Source organism: Homo sapiens, chromosome 17 (assembly GCF_000001405.40).
Source record: "Homo sapiens chromosome 17, GRCh38.p14 Primary Assembly".
Lineage (NCBI taxonomy): Eukaryota > Metazoa > Chordata > Mammalia > Primates > Hominidae > Homo > Homo sapiens.
This window is the reverse complement of record NC_000017.11, coordinates 75165379-75187292: the sequence shown is the minus strand read 5'-3', so window position 1 is coordinate 75187292 and position 21914 is coordinate 75165379. Positions and strand designations below refer to the sequence as shown.

The 21914-nt window shown below is 47.3% G+C and overlaps 1 protein-coding gene across 2 annotated transcripts, besides 3 other annotated features; it reads left to right on the top strand.

Annotated features, from left to right (window-relative positions):
* Window positions 4035-4264: a silencer, noted in NCBI's record as "silent region_8959". NCBI's record gives its function as "represses an Ori minimal core promoter by ATAC-STARR-seq in GM12878 lymphoblastoid cells {active_cell/tissue: GM12878}" and the evidence as "EXISTENCE:reporter gene assay evidence [ECO:0000049][PMID:35858748]".
* On the top strand, window positions 4334-21707 carry SUMO2 (small ubiquitin like modifier 2). Of its 2 annotated transcripts, NM_006937.4 has the most exons (4): window positions 4334-4479; window positions 6105-6236; window positions 12470-12541; window positions 18892-21707. In NM_006937.4, the coding sequence occupies exons 1-4, from the start codon at window positions 4459-4461 to the stop codon at window positions 18952-18954; spliced, it is 288 nt and encodes a 95-aa protein (NP_008868.3). In that variant the 5' UTR covers window positions 4334-4458; the 3' UTR covers window positions 18955-21707. The 2 variants fall into 2 exon arrangements, with proteins under 2 accessions (NP_008868.3, NP_001005849.1); NM_001005849.2 differs by lacking the exon at window positions 12470-12541.
* Window positions 4376-5026: an enhancer, noted in NCBI's record as "NANOG-H3K27ac-H3K4me1 hESC enhancer chr17:73178362-73179012 (GRCh37/hg19 assembly coordinates)". NCBI's record gives its function as "activates a minimal SCP1, AML or CMV promoter by ChIP-STARR-seq in primed H9 embryonic stem cells {active_cell/tissue: H9 hESC(primed)}" and the evidence as "EXISTENCE:reporter gene assay evidence [ECO:0000049][PMID:30033119]".
* Window positions 4395-4794: a silencer, noted in NCBI's record as "silent region_8958". NCBI's record gives its function as "represses an Ori minimal core promoter by ATAC-STARR-seq in GM12878 lymphoblastoid cells {active_cell/tissue: GM12878}" and the evidence as "EXISTENCE:reporter gene assay evidence [ECO:0000049][PMID:35858748]".
* Window positions 21708-21914: the final 207 nt, after the last annotated feature.

The window sequence follows — 21914 nt, the reverse complement described above, 5'->3', positions numbered from 1 at the left end:
TGCCATTTCTTTCTTTCTTTCTTTTTTTTTTTTTTTGAGATGGAGTTTCATTCTTGTTGCCCAGGCTGGAGTGCAGTGGCGCGATCTTGGCTCACTGCAACCTCTGTCTCCCGGGTTCAAGTGATTCTTGCTGGGATTACAGGCATGAGCCACCACGCCCGGCCAGGAGATGCTATTTCTATAAAAAATAAAAAGCCACCACGCCCGGCCAGGAGATGCTATTTCTATAAAAAATAAAAATAAATTAGGTGGGCGTGGTGGTGCCTGTCTGTAGTCCTAGCTACTCAAGAGGCTGAGGCGAGAGGATGGTTTAAGCCCAGGAGTTCGAGGCTGCAGTGAGCTATGATTTGCGGTACTGCACTCTATCCTGGGTGGAAAGCAGACCTTTCTTAAAAAAGAAAAAAAAAAATTAGGTGAATTCCAGAGCCAACCTTCCAAGGGGCCCAAAAATTTGTATTTAAACCAGCCCTTTAGATGATTCTGACTCATTTAAAAATCCATGAATAATGGAGGTACTATTTATTTTTTTTTGAGACGGAGTCTCGCTCTGTCGCCCAGACTGGAGTGCAGTGGCGTGATCTTGGCTCACTGCAAGCTCCGCCTCCCAGGTTCATGCCATTCTCCTGCCTCAACCTCCTGAGTAGCTGGGACTACAGGCACCCGCCACCACGTCCGGCTAATTTTTTGTATTTTTAGTAGAGATGGGGTTTCACTGTGTTAGCCAGGGTGGTCTCGATCTCCTGACCTCGTGATCTGCCCGCCTCGGCCTCCCAAAGTGCTGGGATTACAGGCGTGAGCCACCGCACCCGGCCTGGAGGTACTTTAAAACAGATGGGTTAGGCTGGGCGCGGTGGCTCACGTCTGTAATCCCAGCACTTTGGGAGGCCAAAGTGGGCAGATCACCTGAAGTCGGGAGTTCGAGACCAGTGTGACCAACATGGAGAAACCCCGTCTCTATTAAAAATACAAAATTAGCCAGGCACGGTGGTGCATGGCATGCCTGTAATCTCAGCTACTCAGGAGGCTGAGGCAGGAGAATCGCTTGAACCTGGCAGGCGGAGTTTGCAGTGAGCTGAGATCTTGCCATTGCACTCCAGCCTGGGCCACAAGAGCAAAATTCTGTCTGAAAAAAACAAACAAACAAATAAACAGCCGGGCGTGGTGGCTCACGCCTGTAATCCCAGCACTTTGGGGGGCCGAGACGGGCACATCACGAGGTCAGGAGATCAAGACCATCCTGGCTAACACGGTGAAACCCCATCTCTACTAGAAATACAAAAAATTAGCCGGGCGTGGTGGCATGTGCCTGTAGTTCCAGCTACTCAGGAGGCTGAGGCAGAAGAATCGCTTGAACCCGGGGGGCAGAAGTTGCAGTGAGCCGAGATCGTGCCACTCCAGCCTGGGCGACAGAGCGAGACTCCGTCTAAAACAAAACAAACAACAACAACAACAAAAAAAAACAGATGAGTTAGGAGGGTATTTCCATATTGCAGTATCTTTGTGTTTTTTTGTTTTTTTGTTTTTTTTTTTGAGACGAAGTCTTGCTCTGTTGCCCAGGCTAGAGTGCAGTGAGTGGTGTGATCTTGGCTCACTGCAACTTCTACTTACTGGGTTCAAGCGATTCTCCTGCCTCAGCCCCCTGAGTAGCTGGGAATACAGGCGCCTGCCACCATGCCTGGCTAATTTTTGTATTTTTAGTAGAGACACTGGGTTTCACCATGTTAGCCAGGCTAGTCTCAAACTCCTGACCTCAGGCAATCCATCTGCCTTGGCCTCCCAAAGTGCTGGGATTACAGGCGTGAGCCACCAGAGGGTTTCACCATGTTAGCCAGGCTGGTCTCAAACTCCTGACCTCAGGCAATCCATCCGCCTCGGCCTCCCAAAGTGCTGGGATTACAGGCGTGAGCCACCAGAGGGTTTCACCATGTTGGCTAGTCTGGTCTCAAACTCCTGACCTCAGGTGATTTGCCCGCCTCGGCCTCCCAAAGTGTTGGGATTACAGGCATGAGCCACCGTGCCCGGCTGATATTGCAGTATCTCTTGAGAGTGTTTTTTTTTTTTTTTTTTTTTAATGGAGTTTCGCTCTTGTTGCCCAGGCTGGAGTGCAATGGTGAGATCTCAGCTCACCACAACCTCCTCCTCCCGGGTTCAAGCGATTCTTCCGCCTCAGCCTCCCGAGTAGCTGGGATTACAGGCATGCGCCACCACACCCAGCTAATTTTGTATTTTCAGTAGAGACAGGGTTTCTCCATGTTGGTCAGGCTGATCTCGAACTCCTGACCTCAGGTGATCCTCCCACCTCGGCCTCCCAAAGTGCTGGGATTACAGGCATGAGCCACCATGCCCGGCCTCTTTTGAGAGTGTTGATCTGAACTAGATGGTCTTCCTGCTTTGGCCTATCACACATCTAAGGTCTTAAGCCTCTTCCTCCCCAAAGAGAACCTACAGAAGGCCAGCAAATGCAGCTCCATCCAGAGGCCAAAGAAATTAGATTTGGTAAGAAGGTGGAATAGACAAGATTTGGCCAAGATTGATTGGATGAGGAGTGTGTGAAGGAGAAGAAGTCAGGAATGTTGCTGGCCTTTCCAGCTTGGGGCAGCTGTTGTAGTGGTGTGTCACTCAGTTTAAGAGTGACAGGTCAGGAAGAAGGACCCATGTGGAAGGTAAAGTGAGGAGTTTTAGTTGAGAGTTGCTGGGTCTGAGGTGCCTCTGGGATATCCAAGTGGAGATGTTCAGAAATCAACTGGAAACTCAGAAGAAAGACGTGGACTAGAAATAATGGATTTGAGGATCATTAGCAAAGAGATGGTAATGAAAATCGGTGAAATCATCCTCGGAGAGGGAATGGAGTGATAAAAGGATCTTGAAGAAAACCCTAAGGAACAGTTAAGGGAAGGAGTGAGTAAGAAAAAAAATTGCAGAGAGAACAAAGGACAGGCTAGAGATGAGAGGAAAACCTACCTCCTGCAAAGTTCAAGAGGAGTGACAAACTGAGAAGCATACTGGATTCAGCAAAGAAGTCTGCGGTGACCTTGTGGAGAGCAGTTTTAGTGGAACTTTGGGGACAGCACCAGATTGCAGTGGGTTGAGGAGTGAGTGGGAGGGGAGGGGTTGGAGACAGCTGGCGGGGACATTTTTTCGAGCTGTTTGGCCAAGAATGGAGAGAGATAGGATGGTAACTTCATAGAATTGGGAGCTTTTTTTTTTTTTTCTATACTAACGGAGGAGAGGAAGAAAATTCAGGGACAAAAGGAAATAATAAAGCCCCGGGGGAAGAAGCGAGATGGAATCCAGTGCACACACATCGGATTGTTCTTCAGACAGGAGGGACGCATGTGTATGTTTTAACTGGATGCAACGAGGAAAGGATTAAATTGGCTGGAAGCTTGATTGTTGGGTAGTTCTCGCTTATGGATACTGTTTCCTCTTGGAAGACAGGCGATGAGTAAGGATCTCGTTGAATGAATACATGAATATTTTCCCGTAGCTAGTCAAAGTCTAGGGTTACCAGCAGGACAGAAGAAGACACTGTAGGCCGGGCGCGGTGGCTCACGCCTGTAATCCCAGCACTTTGGGAGGCCGAGGCGGGCGGATCACGAGGTCAGGAGATCGAGACCATCCTGGCTAACACGGTGAAACCCCGTCTCTACGAAAAATTAGCCGGGCGTTGTGGCGGGTACCTGTAGTCTCAGCTACTCGGGAGGCTGAGGCAGGAGAATCACTTGAACCCGGGAGGCAGAGGTTGCTGTGAGCCGAGATCGTGCCACTGCACTCCAGCCTGGGCGACTGAGCGAGACTCCGTCTCAAAAAAAAGAAGAAGAAGAAGAAGAAGAAGACACTGCATTTTAGGCAAGAGTCCGGTGGGAAGCAGGTTGAGATTGACTGAGAGGAAGTAACCATGGGAGGGCTGCTGGTCCACTGAATGAGAGAGATTTTTCCAGAACCTCATGCTGGGGCTTTGATTTAGGAATCCCCTTCCTCCTCTAGTAAGTCTGCCTTCCCTGGCCTATGGCTTACGTCTAAAGCCTCGAGCCTCATCGTTCCCACCGAGGACCAGCTGGAAGCCATTTTGATTATGCTCCACCACGAAGGAGGACAATACAGCCCCGCCCAGAGCCAGGCGCGCCCCCGCGGCGGGCCGGGTGCGCGTGTCCGCGCCTCTTCCCGCCGGCCGGGCGGGCGCCTGGCCCAGGACGCGGTGGCGTGGGACGGGGGGTGGGGGTGGTTATGTAAGCGTTGCGCGCTCCCGCGAGGCGCCAGCCAATGGGAGGCTTCGGCTACTCGTGCTCGCGCACGCAGGGTGGGGGGAGGGAGCGCACGACGTGCGCGCACCCTCTCCCCTCGTCCACCGCTGCCGCCTCCTTCTTCTGCCGCTCCTGGTGCTGCTTGTGTGCTCGTTTGGTGCGGACCTGGTACCTCTTTTGTGAAGCGGCAGCTGAGGAGACTCCGGCGCTCGCCATGGCCGACGAAAAGCCCAAGGTGAGCTCGCCGCCGGCCCCTTCGCCTCGCCGCGCGGTGGGGGTCATGGCGCGGGCCGGGGTCCGGCCAGAGCCCGCCGCTGGCTCCCAGCGCTTTCCCGGGCCCCCCACGGGGCCGGCCGCGGCTCAGGCCCGGGCGCTCCGCGCCATTTTCCTCCCTCCCTCTCTTCCTCCCTCCCGCGCCGAAGGAGGCCCCGCCGCTCTCTCCCGCCCCCGGCGGCCTCCGAGTGCGCGCCGGGCGCGAGTTGGGCGGGCAGAAAGCGGACGCCCGCGGACCCACCAGCCCCGAACGGGGATTCTTGGCCCAGCCGGCCGGCGCGCGTGAGGAGGGGCGTTAGGGCGCGCGGGGTCTCCACCTTCTGTCGACCCCGCGTCGGGTGTTGCAGTCTCCGAGGCGGCGAGGAGTCCTCTGGGCTCGGGCTTCACCTCTCGGGTAGGAACCGCGGGCATCTGGGGACCCCTGCCTGGGGCCGCGGCGGCGGGGCGAGGGTTCGGGGCGAATCAATGGGCTGCGGACGGGCAGGAACCTGGATGCCCGCGGGCCGCCGTCCTGGGCCTGGGGGTAGGGGGATTCCCGTGGAGTATTTCCCACTTTAATAGCCTCAGGGGCCCGAAGGGGGAGGGGCAGCGGCTTTTCCCTGGGTGCCAACGAACCCCTAATCCGCGAACACCATGTGGTTTCATGAAGTTGGAGGCACAGGTACGAGCAGAGAGACTTTGTGCGGCTTAACTTTTGAACGCGGCTTTTGAGGCACCCGGAGACTTCCCGGGAGGACTTGGGGACACCCATCATCGGGGCACACGGGACTTGCTGCTTTTAGTTTGGTGGCACCCCCCGCCTCCCGCGCCTTTACTTTCTGGAGCGTTTTAGGGCTACAGAATTGCTTCTGCACTCGATTTTGGACAACTTTAGGTTGGGTCGAAATCTACAAGAAACAAATCAGGATAAAACTGTGTATTTGACCCATGACAACAAAGGGGGGGAGGGGAGAATAAGTGCTCTTAACCGAAAATAAAAATGAAGCTGCTAATAGAGGAGAACGTTAACTGTGGTCCTGACTGAGTATTACCGCTGTTCCGGGGGGAATCGGGATATTCTTCGATTGTTTTTTTTGTTTGTGTGTTTCCTTTAATGGAGATTGGATTTAGGTTATTAAACTGAGTTTGGTAACTTTTTAATGACAACGGTAATGAGTTTTGAATGGCAGGCTGTAGATTTATTGTTTTGTTTCTTGCAGTTGTACTTAAAGTGCTTAGAAAAGAGAAGGGACTCTATTTTTAACTTTTTTGGGGGGTAAAGTATTTTGGGAGTGATATATGTCATTTTAGGAAGTTTAACTTCAAGAGAACGTTGCAATACACTGAATAGGACCCAACTTTAAACATATTGTTGCTACTGATAGTATTGCATGTAGGCTTTTCCGTATCTGACAGCTATCTAATACTGTTACTGCAGGATTTTTCCGCTTTCACATTGATTTCAGCAGCTGAAAACAGCAGTATGCCGTTTTAGCATACAGTATGAGAAACCTGTTGATTTTTGAAGCAACTAGGGCTGCTGCTGCTTTATAAAACGTGTTCGTTGATCACATTTCCCAAATTATACTTTTATTTTTCTTTTAACAGGAAGGAGTCAAGACTGAGAACAACGATCATATTAATTTGAAGGTGGCGGGGCAGGATGGTTCTGTGGTGCAGTTTAAGATTAAGAGGCATACACCACTTAGTAAACTAATGAAAGCCTATTGTGAACGACAGGTGAGGAATTCATATGTGTACTTCCACTGAATAAAACTATTTTTAAAAATCTTATTTTCATGGGAACAAAAACTAGACTAGCACATTACAGTGACTTTTTGATGGGATGAATATGCACTTGGCACGTCAGTTTTGTCGTGCACTTGGTATATTGATAGCTCGTGAAAACCCTTAGGATGATTTGGTTAGTATTATATGTGGTTCCAGTCCTGTGCCAGAAATCCATCAAATTATATTTACAATAATTTTTTTTTACCAAGGAAATGTAATTTTATGTTTATAAGAAAATAAGAGTGAACTTGGTAAAATTACTTATAAGTCTTTTATTATTTTATTTTATTTTTTTGAGATGGAGTTTCATTCTTGTTGCCCAAGCTGAAGTACAGTGGCCTGAGCTCAGCTCACTGCAACCTCCACTTCAAGCGATTTTCCTGCCTCAGTCTCCTGAGTATCTGGGATTACAGGTGCCCACTACCAGGCCTGGCCAATTTTTTTTTTGTATTTTTAGTAGAGATGGGGTTTCACCGTATTGGCTAGGCTGGTTCCAAACTCCTGACCTCAGGTGATCCGCCCGCCTCGGCCTTCCAAAGTGCTGGGATTACAAGCATGAGCCACCGCGCCAAACCAAGAAGTCGTTTTTTTTTTTTTTTTTTTTTTTTTTTTTAAGCTGGGAGTCTCACTCTATTTCTTTTAAGCTAGAACTTATCTACCTTGTAAATTGTGTTTTATTTTTGTTTTTGTTTTTGATGGAGTCTTGCTCTGTTGCCCAGGCTGGAGTGCAGTGGTGCAATCTTGGCTCACTGCAACCTCTGCCTCCTGAGTTGAGGCTATTCTTATGCCTCAGCCTCCTGAGTACCTGGGATTTCAGGCGTGCGCCACCACGCCCGGCTAATTTTGTATTTTTAGTAGACCTGACCTCAACTCCTGACCTCAAGTGATCCGCCCACCTTGGCCTCTCAGAGTGCTGGGATTACAAGCATGGGCCACTGTGCCTGGCCCCTTCAGATTGTTCTAAATAGGCTCAAAATAGAATAAGGCTTAAACCTATGTAAGTTGGGAAATTGAGTTTGAGTTTATACTTGAAAGATCAGTGAAGATAAAAACTTCCTTTAGGCCTGATGCAGTGGCTCATATCTGTAATCCCAGCACTTTGGGAGACTGAGGCAGGTGGCAGTTGACATCAGCCTGGCCACCATGGCAAAATCCCATTTCTACTAAAAATCCAAAAAAATTAGCTGGGCGTGGTGTTACACGCGCATAATCCCACCTACTCCGGAGGCTGAGGCTGAGAATCCCTTGAACCTGGGAGGTGGAGGCTGCAGTGAGCCAAGATCACACCACTGCACTCTAGCCTGGGTGACAGAGCGAGAGCATTTCAAAGGAAAAAAAAAAAAAAACTTTAGAATGTTTGAAGTATTTTTATGCCTAGTGTATTTACAATGTAATAAGAAAATACTGTGCTCATAATTGATATGTAAACCTTCTTGTATGTAGTTCCTTATAAAGATACCTTTTTTTTTTTTTTTTTTGAGACAGAGTCTCGCTCTGTTGTCCAGGATGGAGTGCAGTAGTGCAATCTCGACTCACTGCAACTTCTGCCTCCCGAGACCAAGCGATTCTCCTGTCTCAGTCTCCCGAGTAGGTGGGACTACGGGCGCACGCCACCACGCCCAGCTAATTTTTGTATTGTCAGCAAGATGGGGTTTCACCATATTGGTCAGACTGGTCTTGAGCTCCTGACCTCAGGTGATCCACCTGCCTCATCCTCCCAAAGTGCTGGGATTACAGGCGTGAGCCACTGTGCCCAGCAAGATACCATATACTCTTATTTGAAGAATTTTGCTGAAATCACCCTACATGAACTTATGAATTGTGTTAAATAATTTATAAACTGGCATCTTCTATATTTGAACACTAGTGCCCCTTCAGGATACAGGGGAATTTTAAAAGGTAATCCTTTTGGAGAACTTCTTTAGCAAAACTGCATACAAAATAGAAAATCATAGGCTGGGCGTGGTAATCCAGCACTTTGGGAGGCCAAGGCTGGAAGACCAGTCTGGACAACATAGTAAGACCTCATCTGGTTTTTTTGTTTTGTTTTGAGGTGGAGTTTTGCTCTTATTGCCCAGGCTAGAGTGCAGTGGCGCAATCTCGGCTCACTGCATCCTCCGCCTTCCAGTTTTAAGCGATTCTTCTGCCTCAGCCTCCCAAGTCACTGGGATTACAGGACCTCGTGAACCACCCGCCTCAGCCTCCCAAAGTGCTGGGTTTACAGGCATGAGCCACTGCGCCTGGCCCAGACCTCATCTCTTAAAAAAAAATTAGGTGGTTGTGGTGGCACATACCTGTAGTCCAGGCTATTTCAGTGACAGAGGTGGGAGGATTGCTTGAGCTTGGCAGGTCTAGGCTGCAGTGAGCCATGATCTCATCGCTGCACTCCAGTGTGGGTGACAGAATGAGACCCTGTCTCAAAACCACAAACAAACAGAATCATGCTTCAGTTTGGTGGTTTTGAACAGTATTCTTTTCTTTTTTTTTTTTTTTTTTGAGAGTCTCGCACTGTTGCCCAGGCTGGAGTGCAGTGGCACCATCTCGGCTCACTGCAACCTCTGCCTCCTGGGTTCAAGCGATTCTCCTGCCTCAGCCTCCCAAGTAGCTGGGACTACAGGTGCGTGCCACCGTGCCCAGCCAATTTTTGTATTTTTTGTAGAGACGGGGTTTCACAATATTGGCCAGGATGATCTCGATCTCTTGACCTCGTGATCCGCCTGCTTCGGCCTCCCAAAGTGCTGGGATTACAGGTGTGAGCCACTGGTGCCTGGCCTTGAACACTATTCTTATGCATATCTTATTTAACTTTTCTGCAATTGCAAAATTTTGCCTTTTTTTTTTTGAGACAGGCTTTTGCCCTGTTGCCCATGCTGAAGTGCAGTGGGAGGATTATGATCATGGCTCACTGCATCCTCTGCCTCCCAGGCTCAAGCAGTCCTCCCACCTCAGGCTCCCAGGTAGTTGGGACTATAGGCTTGTGCCACTGGGCGATTCTTTTTTTTTTTTTTTTTTTTTTTGAGACGGAGTCTCGCTTTGTCGGTCAGACTGGAGTGTAGTGACATAATCTCGGCTCACTGCAACCTCCACCTCCCGGGTTCAAGCAATTCTCCTGCCTCAGCCTCCTGAGTAGGTGGGATTATAGGCACCTACCACCGTGCTCGGCTAATTTATTTTTCGTAGAAACGGGGTTTTACCACGTTGGCCAGGCTGGTCTTGAACTCCTGAGCTCAGGTGACCCACCCGTCTCGCCACCTCGGCCTCCCAAAGTGCTGGGATTACAGGCATGAAGCACTACGCCTGGCTTTTCTTTTCTTTTTTTTTTTTAAGATGGAGTTTTCCTCTTGTTACTGAGGCTGAATGCAATGGCGCAATCTAGGCTTACTGGAACCTCCGCCTCCCAGGTTCCAGTGATTCTCCTGCCTCAGCCTCACAAGTAGCTGGGATTACAGGCATGCACCACCACGCCTGGCTAATTTTGTATTTTTAGTAGAGACGGGGCTTCACCATGTTGATCAGGTTGGCTGCTCTGAAACTCCTGACCTCAGGTAATCCACCTGCCTTGGCCTTCCAAAATGTTGGGATTATAGGCGTGAGCCACTGCACCTGGCCACCATGCAAATTTTTTAATTTCTTTTTTTTTGAGATGGAGTCTTGCTCTGTTGCCCAGGCTGGAGTGCAGTGGCATGATCTCAGCTCACTGCAACCTCTGCTCCTGGGTTCAAGCAATTCTCCTGCCTCAGCCTCTTGAATAACTGGGATTACAGCGCCTGCCACCTAGCCTGGCTAATTTTTTGTATTTTTATTTATTTAATTAATTAATTTTTTTTTTTTTTTGAGACAAGAGTCTCGCTCTTGCAATGGCACGATCTCGGCTCATTGCAACCTCCACCTCCCGGGTTCATGCAATTTTCCCCCCTCAACCTCCGGCTGGAGTAGCTGGGACTACAGGTGTGTGCCATTGTGCTCAGCCAATTTTTGTGTTTTTAGTAGAGACGGGGTTTCACCATGTTGGACAGGCTGGTCTCGAACTCCTGACCTCAGGTGATCTTCCACCTCAGTCTCCCAAGGTGCTAGGATTACAGGCGTGAGCCACAATACTTGGCCTTTGTTTTTAAGTAGATGATGGTTATATACTGTTTTTCATCCCTTTTATGCCACTGATACTTACTGAGCAGCACCTACTATGTGCAAGGGATAGACTGTGTAACTAAAACAGTCTAGGTTCCTATATCTCCTGAAGTGTGTTTTTTAGTAAGACAGTAAGTAATTACAGATTTGGGTAAGTATTAAAGGAAATTAAAAAGCGGTGCTTTTTTAAAGCTATTCCAGGAAGTTCAAGGGTGTAGGTTGGGGCATTTTAGGTCGGTTTTGTTGTTGTTGTTGTTGTTTTTGATATTGAATCTGGTCTGTCACCCAGGCTGGAGTGCTAGGGCACGATCTTGGCTCACTGCAAACTCCGCCTCCCAGGTTCAAGCGATCCTCCTGCCTCAGCCTCCCGAATAGCTGGGATTACAGGCGGATGCCACCACACTCGGCTAATTTTTGTATTTTCAGTAGAGGCGGGGTTTCACCATATTGGCCAGGCTGATCTTGAACTCCAGACCTCAGATGATCTGCCTTGGTCTCCTAAAGTGTTGGAATTACAGTGTGAGCCCCCGAGCTCAGACTGGAGTCTTTAAATGGGCATTTTTTTCCTTTAAATTTCCTGTTAGTGGCCAGCCAGGCGGATCACGAGGTCAGGAAATTGAGACCATCCTGGCTAACACGGTGAAACCCCATCTCTACTAAAATACAAAAAATTAGCCCAGCATGGTGGCATGAGCCTGTAGTCCCAGCTACTGAGGAGGCTGAGGCAGGAAAGTCACTTGAACTCCGGTGGTGGAGGTTGCGTTGAACTGAGATTGTTCCACTCACTCCAGCCTGGGCGACAGAGCGAGACTCCATTTAAAAAAAAAAAATTTCATTTCCTTGTCTAACTCATTTAAATGCATATTTGTCTCAAGGTATGTTCTATTTAACATTATAGTAGCTGTGTCTGAAAAGCAGTAAAGCTTTCTAAAAGAATGACTTACTGGCTGGGCGCAGTGGCTCACACCTGTAATCCCAGCGTTTTGTGAGGCTGAGGTGAGTGGATCACTTGAGGTCAGGAGTTCGAGATCAGTCTGGCCAACATGGTGAAACCCTGTCTCTACTAAAAACACAAAAATTAGCTGGGCATGATGGCAAGCGCCTGTAATCCCAGCTACTCGGGAGGCTGAGGCAGGAGAACCACTCGAACCCAGGAGGCGGAGGTTGCAGTGAGCCAAGATCGCACCACTGCACTCCAGCCTGGGCGACATAGCAAAACTCTGTCTTAACAAACAAACAAAAACAACAACAACAAACAGGCCGGGCACAGTGTCTTATGCCTGTAATCCCAGCACTTTGGGAGGCTGAGGTGGTCAGATCATCTGAGGTCAGGAGTTCGAGACCAGCCTGGCCAACATGGCGAAACCCTGTTTCTACTAAAAAATACAAAAATTAGCCAGGCATGGTGGCGCCTGCCTAGTCCCAGCTAATCAGGAGGCTGAGGCAGGAAAATTGCTTGAACCCAAAAGGTGGAGGTTGCAGTGAGCCGAGATCGCGACACTGCCCTCCAGCCTGAGTGACAGAGCAAGACTCTGTCTCAAAAAAAAAAGAAAAGGAAAAAAAATACTACATCTTACTGTTCACTGAAAATGAGAGGCTGGGCACCATGGCTCACTCCTGTAATCCCAGCACTTTGGGAGGCTGAGGCGGACGGAGCACCTGAGGTTAGGAGTTCGAGACCAGCCTGGCCAACCTGATGAAACCCAGTCTCTACTAAAACTACAAAAATTAGCCGGTTGTTGTGGCGGGGGACCGTAGTCCCAGCTACTCTTGGGAGGCTAAGGCAGAAGAATCGCTTGAACCAGGAGGTGTAGGTTGCCTTGAGCTGAGATCACGCCACTGCACTTCAGCCTTGACAACAGATCAAAACTGTCTCAAAAAAAAGAAAATGAAAATCACCCCAAATCTTTTTACCTATAGGGTATGTTAACATGTTGGCAATTGTTTATTTAGGTATTTCTTTAATATATTCATGGTTAAATATGCATGTACTTTTATGTAAATAGAATTCTGTTTCTCTTAATGCTGTTTATTGCTTTTAAATTCTCGTTCAGGGATTGTCAATGAGGCAGATCAGATTCCGATTTGACGGGCAACCAATCAATGAAACAGACACACCTGCACAGGTAAAAAAATCTCTCCTAATTAGAAAAATTACCATTTGTAATTCTTTGAACAGCTGTGTTTATGAATTTGAACGTTTAGACACTGGAGTATAAGTTCTTGTAGAGTTCAGAGCTTTGGGAAGTATGACCAGAGGGGAACAGAAAGGAAAATAGGAATAGGCTCAGGAAATGCCAATGGTTTTTATTCATTTATTTTTAATTTTCATTTTAATTATTTTTTTAGGGACAGGGCCTCTCTGTTGCCCGGGTTGAAGTGTAGTGGCCTCATTATAGCTCACTGCAGCCTTGGCCTCCCAAAGTGATGGGATTATAGGCACGAATCAATGTGCCCAACCCCACCAGTGGTTTGTGTTTGTTTTTTGTGACGGAATCTCACTCCATCGCCCAGGCTTGAGTACAGTGTCACGATCTTGGGTCATGGCAGCCCTCGCCTGCCATGCTTAAGCAATTCTCCTGCCTCAGCCTCCCAGAGTAGCTGGGATTACAGGCATGCACCACCATGCCTGGCTAATTTTTGTATTTTTGGTAGGGATGGGGTTTCACCATGTTGGCCAGGCTGGTCTTGAACTGCTGACCACAAGTAATCCGCCCGCCTTGGCCTCCCAAAGTGTTGGGATTGACAGGTGTGAGCCACCGCACCCAGCCAAATCCTCACCATTTTAGTTCTACATGCTGAATTGAAATTCTCTTTTACGTGTCTTCATGAACAAAAAGGAACTAATAGCCCTAATTGCCACGTCCCATAGCTTTGTTTGACAGGGAGAGCCCCTGATAATAGGAGATTTTCCAGATCCTTACTACAAAACGTGATGCTCTCTGATCCTTTAACTCTTTATGTACCACTTCATTTTGTTCTGTCACTTTCTGTAGGATCAGCTGGATTGTCTTCTGTGGCAGAAGCTCTTTGTTTCTTTTTACCCTTTCAAAGTTCCATTAAATACTTCCAGTTTTGTCCTAGCAGGGTGGCTCATGAGAGCCATTTTCAAGATTACAAAGTGCTTGTAATGCCAGCACTGTGACGCCAAGGTGGGCGGAGCACTTGAGTCCAGGATTTCAAGACCAGCCTGGGCAACATGGCAAAACCCTCTCTTTACAAAAAAATACAAAAATTAGCCAGGGAGCAGTGGTACGTGCCTGTAGTACCAGCTACTTCTTAGGGTGAGGTGGAAGGATTGCTTGAGCCCAGGAAGTGGAGGCTGCCGTCACCCAAGATGGTACCACTGCACACCAGCCTGGGTGACAAAGTGAGGCCCTCTCTCAAAAAAAAAAAAAAATGACTTCCAGTCTTGTCCTGACTTGGTGGCTCACACCTGTAGTCCTATCACTTTAGGAAACTGACACTGGCAGGAGGGTTGCTTGAGGCCAGGAGTTTAAGACCAGTCTGGGCAATATAGCAAGACCTGGTCTCTACAGGAAAGAAAAAGAGCTGGGCATGGTAGCATGTGTCTGTAGTCCCAGCTTCTTGGGAAGTTTAGTGGGAGGGGTGCTTGAGTCCAGGAGTTTCAGGCCGCAGTGAGTTATGATCATACTACTGCACTCCAGCCTGGGCGATAGAGCAAAACTCTGTCTCAAAAATAGAAGACTTACAGTTTCTGAAACATATTTTACAATGTTGTGATAGTAGAAATTTAAATTGGATCCCATGTACTTTTGAATTTCAACTTTATCACCCAGTAAAAACTAGAAAGTGATAAATGTGGCATGAAGCAGCACATCCAGATTGTAGTTTTGTTGATAATCTTTGAAAATTGGAAAAGCCCCTGAGTTGTACTGAAAAGAAGAATATTTTGAAGACATTTCAACTGGTGACAGTCTCTCAAAAGGAATTACGGGCCAGGTGCACTTGTTCACACCTGTCATCCTAGCACTTCAGGAGGCTGAGGCAGGCAGATTGCTTGAGGTCAGGAGTTTGAGACCAGCCTGGACAATATGGTGAAACCCCGTGTCTGCCAAAAAATACAAAAATTAGCCAGGCATCGCCGGGCGCAGTGGCTCATGCCTGTGATCCCAGCACTTTGGGAGGCCGAGGTGGGCGGATCACCTGAGGTTGGGAGTTTGAGACCACTCCGACCAACATGGAGAAACCCCGTCTCTACTAAAAATACAAAATTAGCTGGGTGTGGTGGCCTGTAATCCCAGCTGCTCGGGAGGCTGAGGCAGGAGAATCGCTTGAACCCAGGAGGCAGAGGTTGCAGTGAGCCGGAGATCACGCCATTGCACTCGAGCATGGGTAACGAGCGAAACTCAAAAAAAAAAAAAAAAAATTTAGCCAGGCATGATGGTGCACGCCTGTAGTCCCAGCTACTCAGGAGGCTGAGGCAGGAGAATCACCTGAACCCGAGAGGCGGAGATTAAAGTCAGCAGAGATAGTGCCACTGCACTCCAGCCTGGGTAACAGCCCCTGTCTCAAAAAAAAAAAAAAAAAAGTCTGGGTACAGTAGCTCACGACTGTAATCCTAGCACTTTGGGAGGCCAAGGCAAGTTGATCACCTGAGGTCAGCAGTTCAAGACCAGCCTGGCCAACATGGCGAAACTACCCCGTCTCTACTAAAAATACAAAAATTAGCCGGGCATGGTGGTGCTCACCTGTAATCCCATCCCAGCTACTCGGGAGATTGAGCCAGGAGAATCTGGGCGGGGGAAAGGTGTCAGACAGTCGAGGTTGCAGTGAGCGCGGAGGTCATGCCACTTCACTCTAGCTTGGGTGAAAGAGTGAAACCCTGTCAAAAAAAAAAAAAAAGGCGCAATTATGGTATGTAGCCACAAGGAGGAGCTAAATTCTATTGATAAATGAGGCTGGTACAGGAACCTCATTTTTTAAAGGCATTTACAGTTTCACTGTAAAACTTCACATTTGGATAATTTTGTTTTAGTAGATAGATGACAGGCTTGTTTGGTTTTAAAAGAAATAGTAAAAAGTATCTATTGTGCTGTACTCTCAGTTATTAGAATGTATTTCCTGTCTTTAAGCCCTCCTTACCCACCACTAAAACGGGATTATCTGCTATAGTAGTTACAAATATTAAACAAGGAGTTATTTGTTTGGATCCGTGACCTTGAGGCATTTTAAAATCTTCAGGTTGAATTTGCAATTCATTTTACTTCATTTTGAAGAATTTGGAATTGATTCGTTTTAGAATTATTCTCCCAATATTTGTTAGATAGCAGGATTGTGATAAATTAAAACATCTTAGCAGGCCTCCTGCCTCCCCAGCTTTTTTTTATTTTTTTATTTTTCGAGACGGAGTTTTGCCCTGTCTCCCAGACTGGAGTGCAGTGGCGTGATCTCAGCTCACTGCAACCTCTGCTTCCTGGGTTCAAGCGATTCTCCTGCCTCAGCTTCCCGAGTAGCTGGGATTACAGGCGCCCACCATGATGCCTGGCTAATTTTGTTTTTATTTTATTTGTTTATGTTGTTTTTATTTTATTTTCTGTATTGACGGAGTCAGTACAAAATTAGCTGGGCATGATGGCGCATGCCTGTAATCCCAGCTACTTGGGAGGCTGAGGCAGGAGAATTGCTTGACCCGGGAGGCAGAGGTTGCAGTGAGCCAAGATTGCGCCATTGCACTCCACCCTGGGCAACAACAGCGAAACTCCATCGCAAGAAAAAATAGAAAAACACAAATGTAGTCATACAATAAGCTGCTTTGCTCCTTGGGGTGTACTTTTTTTTTTTTTTAACTGCCCCTTACAGAGCATGGCTAACTTATATAGTCAGTGCACCGAGTTGGCTGCTGCTTAGTTTTAAAATTGTGTTTTTAGCCTAACACTGTATCTACTGTATCTTAAAGATATTTTCATTTCTGTACATGAAAATCTTATTTTTTAACGGCTATATGGTATTTAATATCTGAGCATACTATGTTTTATTAATTTGGGTTTTTTTTTTTTTTTTTTGAGACCTGGAGTCTCGCACTGTCACCCAGGCTGGAGTGCAGTGGCGTGATCTCAGCTCACTATAACCTCCACCTCCCAGGTTCAAGTGATTCTCCTGCCTCAGCCTCCTGAGTGGCTGGGATTACAGGCACCTGCCACCATGCCCAGCTAATTTTTTGTATTTTTAGTAGAGACGGGGTTTCACTATGTTGGCCAGGCTGGTCTCGAATGACTGACCTTGTGAGCCACCACGCCTGCCGTGGGTTTTTTGTTTTGGTGTTTTTTGTTTTTGTTTTTGTTTTTTGAGACAGAGTCTTGCTCTGTTGCCAGGCTGGAGTGCAGTGGGGCAATCACAGCTCACTGTAACCTCCACTTCACGGGTTCAAGTGATTCTCCTGCCTCAGCCTCCCGAGTAGCTGGGACTACAGGCGTGCGCAACCACACCCAGCTAATTTTTGTATTTTTGGTAGAAACAGGGTTTCACCATGTTGGCCAGGATGGGTTTGACCTGTTGACCTGGTGATCCGCCCACCTTGGCCTCCCAAAGTGTTGGGATTATAGGCGTGAGCCCCGGCGCCCAGCCTAATTTGGGTTTTTATTGAGATTTGTTTTCAGTCTTTGCTAAGCAGTGCAGCGAGATTCTTTAAACATATCACCCTTCTGTGGGCCCTCGACACAGACATATTCAGCTTTCATTTATTTAATTTTTTTGAGACAGTTTCTTGTCACATGCAATGGCATGATCTTGGCTCACTGCAACCTCCACCTCCTGGGTTCAAGTGATTCTCCTGCCTCAGCCTCCCAAGTAGCTGGGATTACAGGCGTGCAGGCGTGCGCCACCACGCCCAGCTAATTTTTTTGTTTTGTTTTTTGTATTTTTAGTAGAGACTGGGTTTCACCATTTTGGCCAGGCTGGTCTTGAACTCCCGACCTCAGGTGATCTGCCTGCCTCGGCCTCCCAAAGTGTTGAGATTACAGGTGTGAGCTGCCACACCCGCCCCCCCCCACCTTTTTTTTTTTTTTTGAGACCAAGTCTCACTCTGTCACCGGTGTTGGAGTCCAGTGGCACAATCTTGGCTCACCACAACCTCTGCTTCCTGGGTTCAAGCGATTCTCCTGCCTCAGCCTCCCGAATAGCTGGGATTACGGGCACATGCCACCATGCCCGGCTAATTTAAAAAATATTTTTAGGCCGGGTGCAGTGGTTCACGCCTATAATCCCAGCATTTTGGGAGGCCGAGGAGGGTGGATCATGAGGTCAGGAGATCTAGACTGTCCTGGCTAACACGGTGAAACCCCGTCTCTACTAAAAATACAAAAAATTAGCCAGGCGTTGTGGCGGGCACCTGTAGTCCCAGCTACTCGGGAGGCTGAGGCAGGAGAATGGCGTGAACCCAGGAGGCGGAGCTTGCAGTGAGCTGAGATCCTGCCACTGGACTCCAGCCTGGGCGACACAGGGAGACTCCGTCTCAAAAAAAAAAAAAAAATTTTTTTTTAATAGGGATGGGGTGTCACCAGGTTGGCCAGGCTGGTCTTGAACTCCTGACCTCAGGTGACCCGCCCACTTCAGCCTCCCAAAGTGTTGAGATTACAGGAGTGAGCCATTGTGCGTGGCCCTAGCCTTTTTTTCTCTTTTTTTGATACAGGATCTTTTGCTTTGTCACTCAGGCTGGAGTGAGCTGGTGTGGTCTCAGTTCACTGCAGCCTTGATCTTATGGGCTCAATTGATCCTCCCACCTCGGCTTCCTGAGTAGCTGGGAGTATGGACATGTGTCACCATGGCTGGCTAATTTTTTTTTTTTTTCCTTTTTTTTTTTGTAGAGATGTTGTCTCCCTATGTTGCCCAGGTGGTCTCGGTCTCTTGGGCTCAAGCAATCCTCCAATGTTGGCCTCCAGTAGTACTGGGATTACAGGCATGAGCCACCGCACCTGGCTAATATTCTGCTTTTTACTCAAAAACTAAGTTTTGGCTGGGCGCAGTGGCTCACACCTGTAATCCCAGCACTTTGGGAGGCCGAGGCAGGCAGATCACTTGAGCTCAGGAGTTTGAGACCAGCCTGGCCAACATGACGAAACCCCATCTCTACTAAAAATACAAAAAAATTAGCTGGGCATGGTGGCGGATGCCTGTAATCTCAGCTACTTGGGAGACTGAGGCAGGAGAATTGCTTGAACCTGAGGGGTGGACGTTGCAGTGAGCTGAGATCACGCCACTGCAGTCCAGCCTGGGTGACAGAAATCCTGTCTCAAAAAAAAAACAAAAAAGTTTTATCTAATAGTCATAAAAAAGGAAGCCAAGTGAAAAATTACTTAAACCAAGTGTGTTGATACATTAAGCTATGAGACATCTAAAATAATGAAACTTGGAACTTAGTGGAACATGTACATGTTTTCAGCATACTTAAACCCAAAAATCATTAATTTTCAGAACTTAATCAGTGCTTTTACATTTGTTTTTTCTTTTATGCTAGTTGGAAATGGAGGATGAAGATACAATTGATGTGTTCCAACAGCAGACGGGAGGTGTCTACTGAAAAGGGAACCTGCTTCTTTACTCCAGAACTCTGTTCTTTAAAGACCAAGATTACATTCTCAATTAGAAAACTGCAATTTGGTTCCACCACATCCTGACTACTACCGTATAGTTTTCTCTATTCTTTCATTTCCCCCTTCCCCATTCCTTTATTGTACATAAAGTAACTGGTATATGTGCACAAGCATATTGCATTTTTTTTTTTTTTAACTAAACAGCCAATGGTATGTTTTGATTGACATCAAGTGGAGACGGGATGGGGAAAAATACTGATTCTGTGAAAATACCCCCTTTCTCCATTAGTGGCATGCTCATTCAGCTCTTATCTTTATATTCCAGTAAGTTATTTTGCTCTCACTGTTTTAACAAAAAAAAAAAACAACAACATAAAAATCCTTGCATACCTTGTTCAATTGGAGAATTTTAATGTTTTTCATTTATCATTGTAAAACCAAGGACAATTTTATAACTTTTTTGTACGTAGCTGTTACATGTAGGGCAATCTGTCTTTAAGTAGGGATAAATTACTCTAAAACAAAAAAGAATCCTAGATAGTTTTCCCTTCAAGTCAAGCGTCTTGTTGTTTAAATAAACTTCTTGTTTAAAATGAGCTGTTTTCTTTATTCTGAGAAATATTAAATAGAAAATTGAGGCTTAGAAAAAACATAAATAGGCCTGCTTAGAAGTAACATTTCAAGAAGGAAATAAAGCTACTTGGTGTTTCTGACAGACTGATACTGATGCCAAACAAAGAATAACAGTTTTATAAATATCACCTTGTTCCAAAAGTTTCTCTAGGTCCCATGTTAATATGCAAGTATACTAGCAGAAAAATTGGGCCATAGTATCGTGGATTTCCAGGTATTTTCTGTATATTAAGTGAGGCACGGAGCATAGGGTATAGGGTAGCACATGTGGCAAGGAAAAAGTTCTGATTTTGCCTTTGTTGCTGATAAAACACTGAACCATTCTAGCCTGCACTTATCATAAGTAAATACTCCCTAACCTAAAATAAAGTTTTCGTTCCTTATTCAAGGATTTTTTTTTTGAGACGGAGTTTTCCTCTTGTTGCCCAGGCTGGAGTGTAGTGGTGCAATTTCAGCTCACTGCAACCTCAGCCTCCTGAGTAGCTGGGGGGTCATAGGTGCATGCCACCACGCCCAGCTAATTTTTTTTCTATTTTTAGTCGAGACAGGGTTTTATCACGTATGCCAGGCTGGTCTCGAACTCCTGACCTTAGGTGATCCACCCGCCTCAGCCTCCCAAAGTGCAGGGATTACGGCATGAGCCACCACGCCTGGCCTATTCAAGAATATTGAGGGACAGAAAATATCTATATATATCCATCCTCAGAACCTTAAATATACAGGTCACTACAGTCTTTATTATTTTAATTTTTGTTTCTTAGGGTTTCTTTTGGTGGTGGTTTTTTGAGATGGAGCATCATTCCGTCTCCCAGGCTGTAGTGCAGTGGCACAATCTTGGCTCACTGCAAGCTCCGCCTCCCGGGTTCACGCCATTCTCCTGCCTCAGCCTCCCGTCTTAGGTCTTTTTGAAAGAGGTTATGCCTCTGTTGCCTAGTCTGGAGTGGTGCAATGGTGTGATCTTGGCTCACTGCAACCTCCACCTCCAGGTCTTAAGAGATCCTCCCTGCTCAGCCTCGTGAGTAGCTAGAACCGCAGGTGCATGCCACCACAGCTAATTCTTGTATTTTTTATAGAGAGTGTTTCGCCATATTGTCCAGGCCGGGCTCAAACCCCTGATCTTAAGTGATCTATCTGCCTTAGCCTCCCAATGTGCTGGGTTTACAGGCGTGAGCCACTATGCCCAGCCCCTTTTTAATTTTTTAAAAATGTTTATTTTTGAGATGGAGTTTCGCTCTTGTTGCCCCAACTGGAGACCAATGACATGATCTCAGCTCACTGCAACCTCCGCCTCCCGGGTTCAACTGATTCTCCTCCCTCAGCCTCCGGAAAAGCTGGGATTACAAGCATCTACCATCATACCTGGCTAATTCTGTATTTTTAGTAGAGAAGGGGTTTCTCTATGTTGGTCAGGCTGGTCTCCACCTCCCGACCTCAGGTGATCTGCCTGCCTTGGCCTCCCAAAGTGCTGAGATTACAGGCTTGAGCCACTGTGCCCGGCCAAATTTTTATTATTTTTAAATTAGAGGTGGGGTCTCACCATGTTGACCAGTTTGGTCTCGAACTTCTGGCCTCAGTCCCTTGTCTTGGCCTCCCAAAGTGTTGGGGTTTCAGGTGTTAGACCCCATGCCCAACCACTACAGTTTTTGTTTTTGTTTTTGTTTTTTTTTCAGACGGAGTCTTGCTCTGTCGCCCAGGCTGGAGTGCAGTGGCGCAATCTTGGCTCACGGCAAGCTCCACCTCCCGGGTTCACGCCATTCTCCTGCCTCAGCCTCCCCAGTAGCTGGGACTAAAGGTGCCCGCCACCATGCCCGGCTAATTTTTTTGTATTTTTAGTAGAGACAGGGCTTCACCATGTTAGCCAGGCTGGTCTCAAACTCCTGACCTCAGTTCATCCACCCGCCTTGGCCTTCCAAAGTGCTGGGATTACAGGCATGATCCACTGCGCCCGGCCTCACTGCCATTTTATAGATGAGAAAGCCAAGTTCCAGAAAAGTTGTGAAATAGACGGTGACTATAAAACTGGGACTAGAGATAGTATCCTAATGCTTGTTGATTGTTTTTGTCCATACTGATTGTCAACCTACCAATATAATCTACCATCAAGTCACCATGTAGTATTATGTGTTATTTCTCTTAATCTGCTGTACCTTTGTTTTTTGTTTTTTTGAGACGGAGTCTTGCTCTGTTGCCCAGGCTGGAGTGCAGTAGCGCGATCTCGGCTCACTGCAAGCTGCCTCCCGAGTTCACGCCATTCTCCTGCCTCAGCCTCCTGAGTAGCTGGGAGTACAGGCACCCACCACCATGCCCGGCTAAT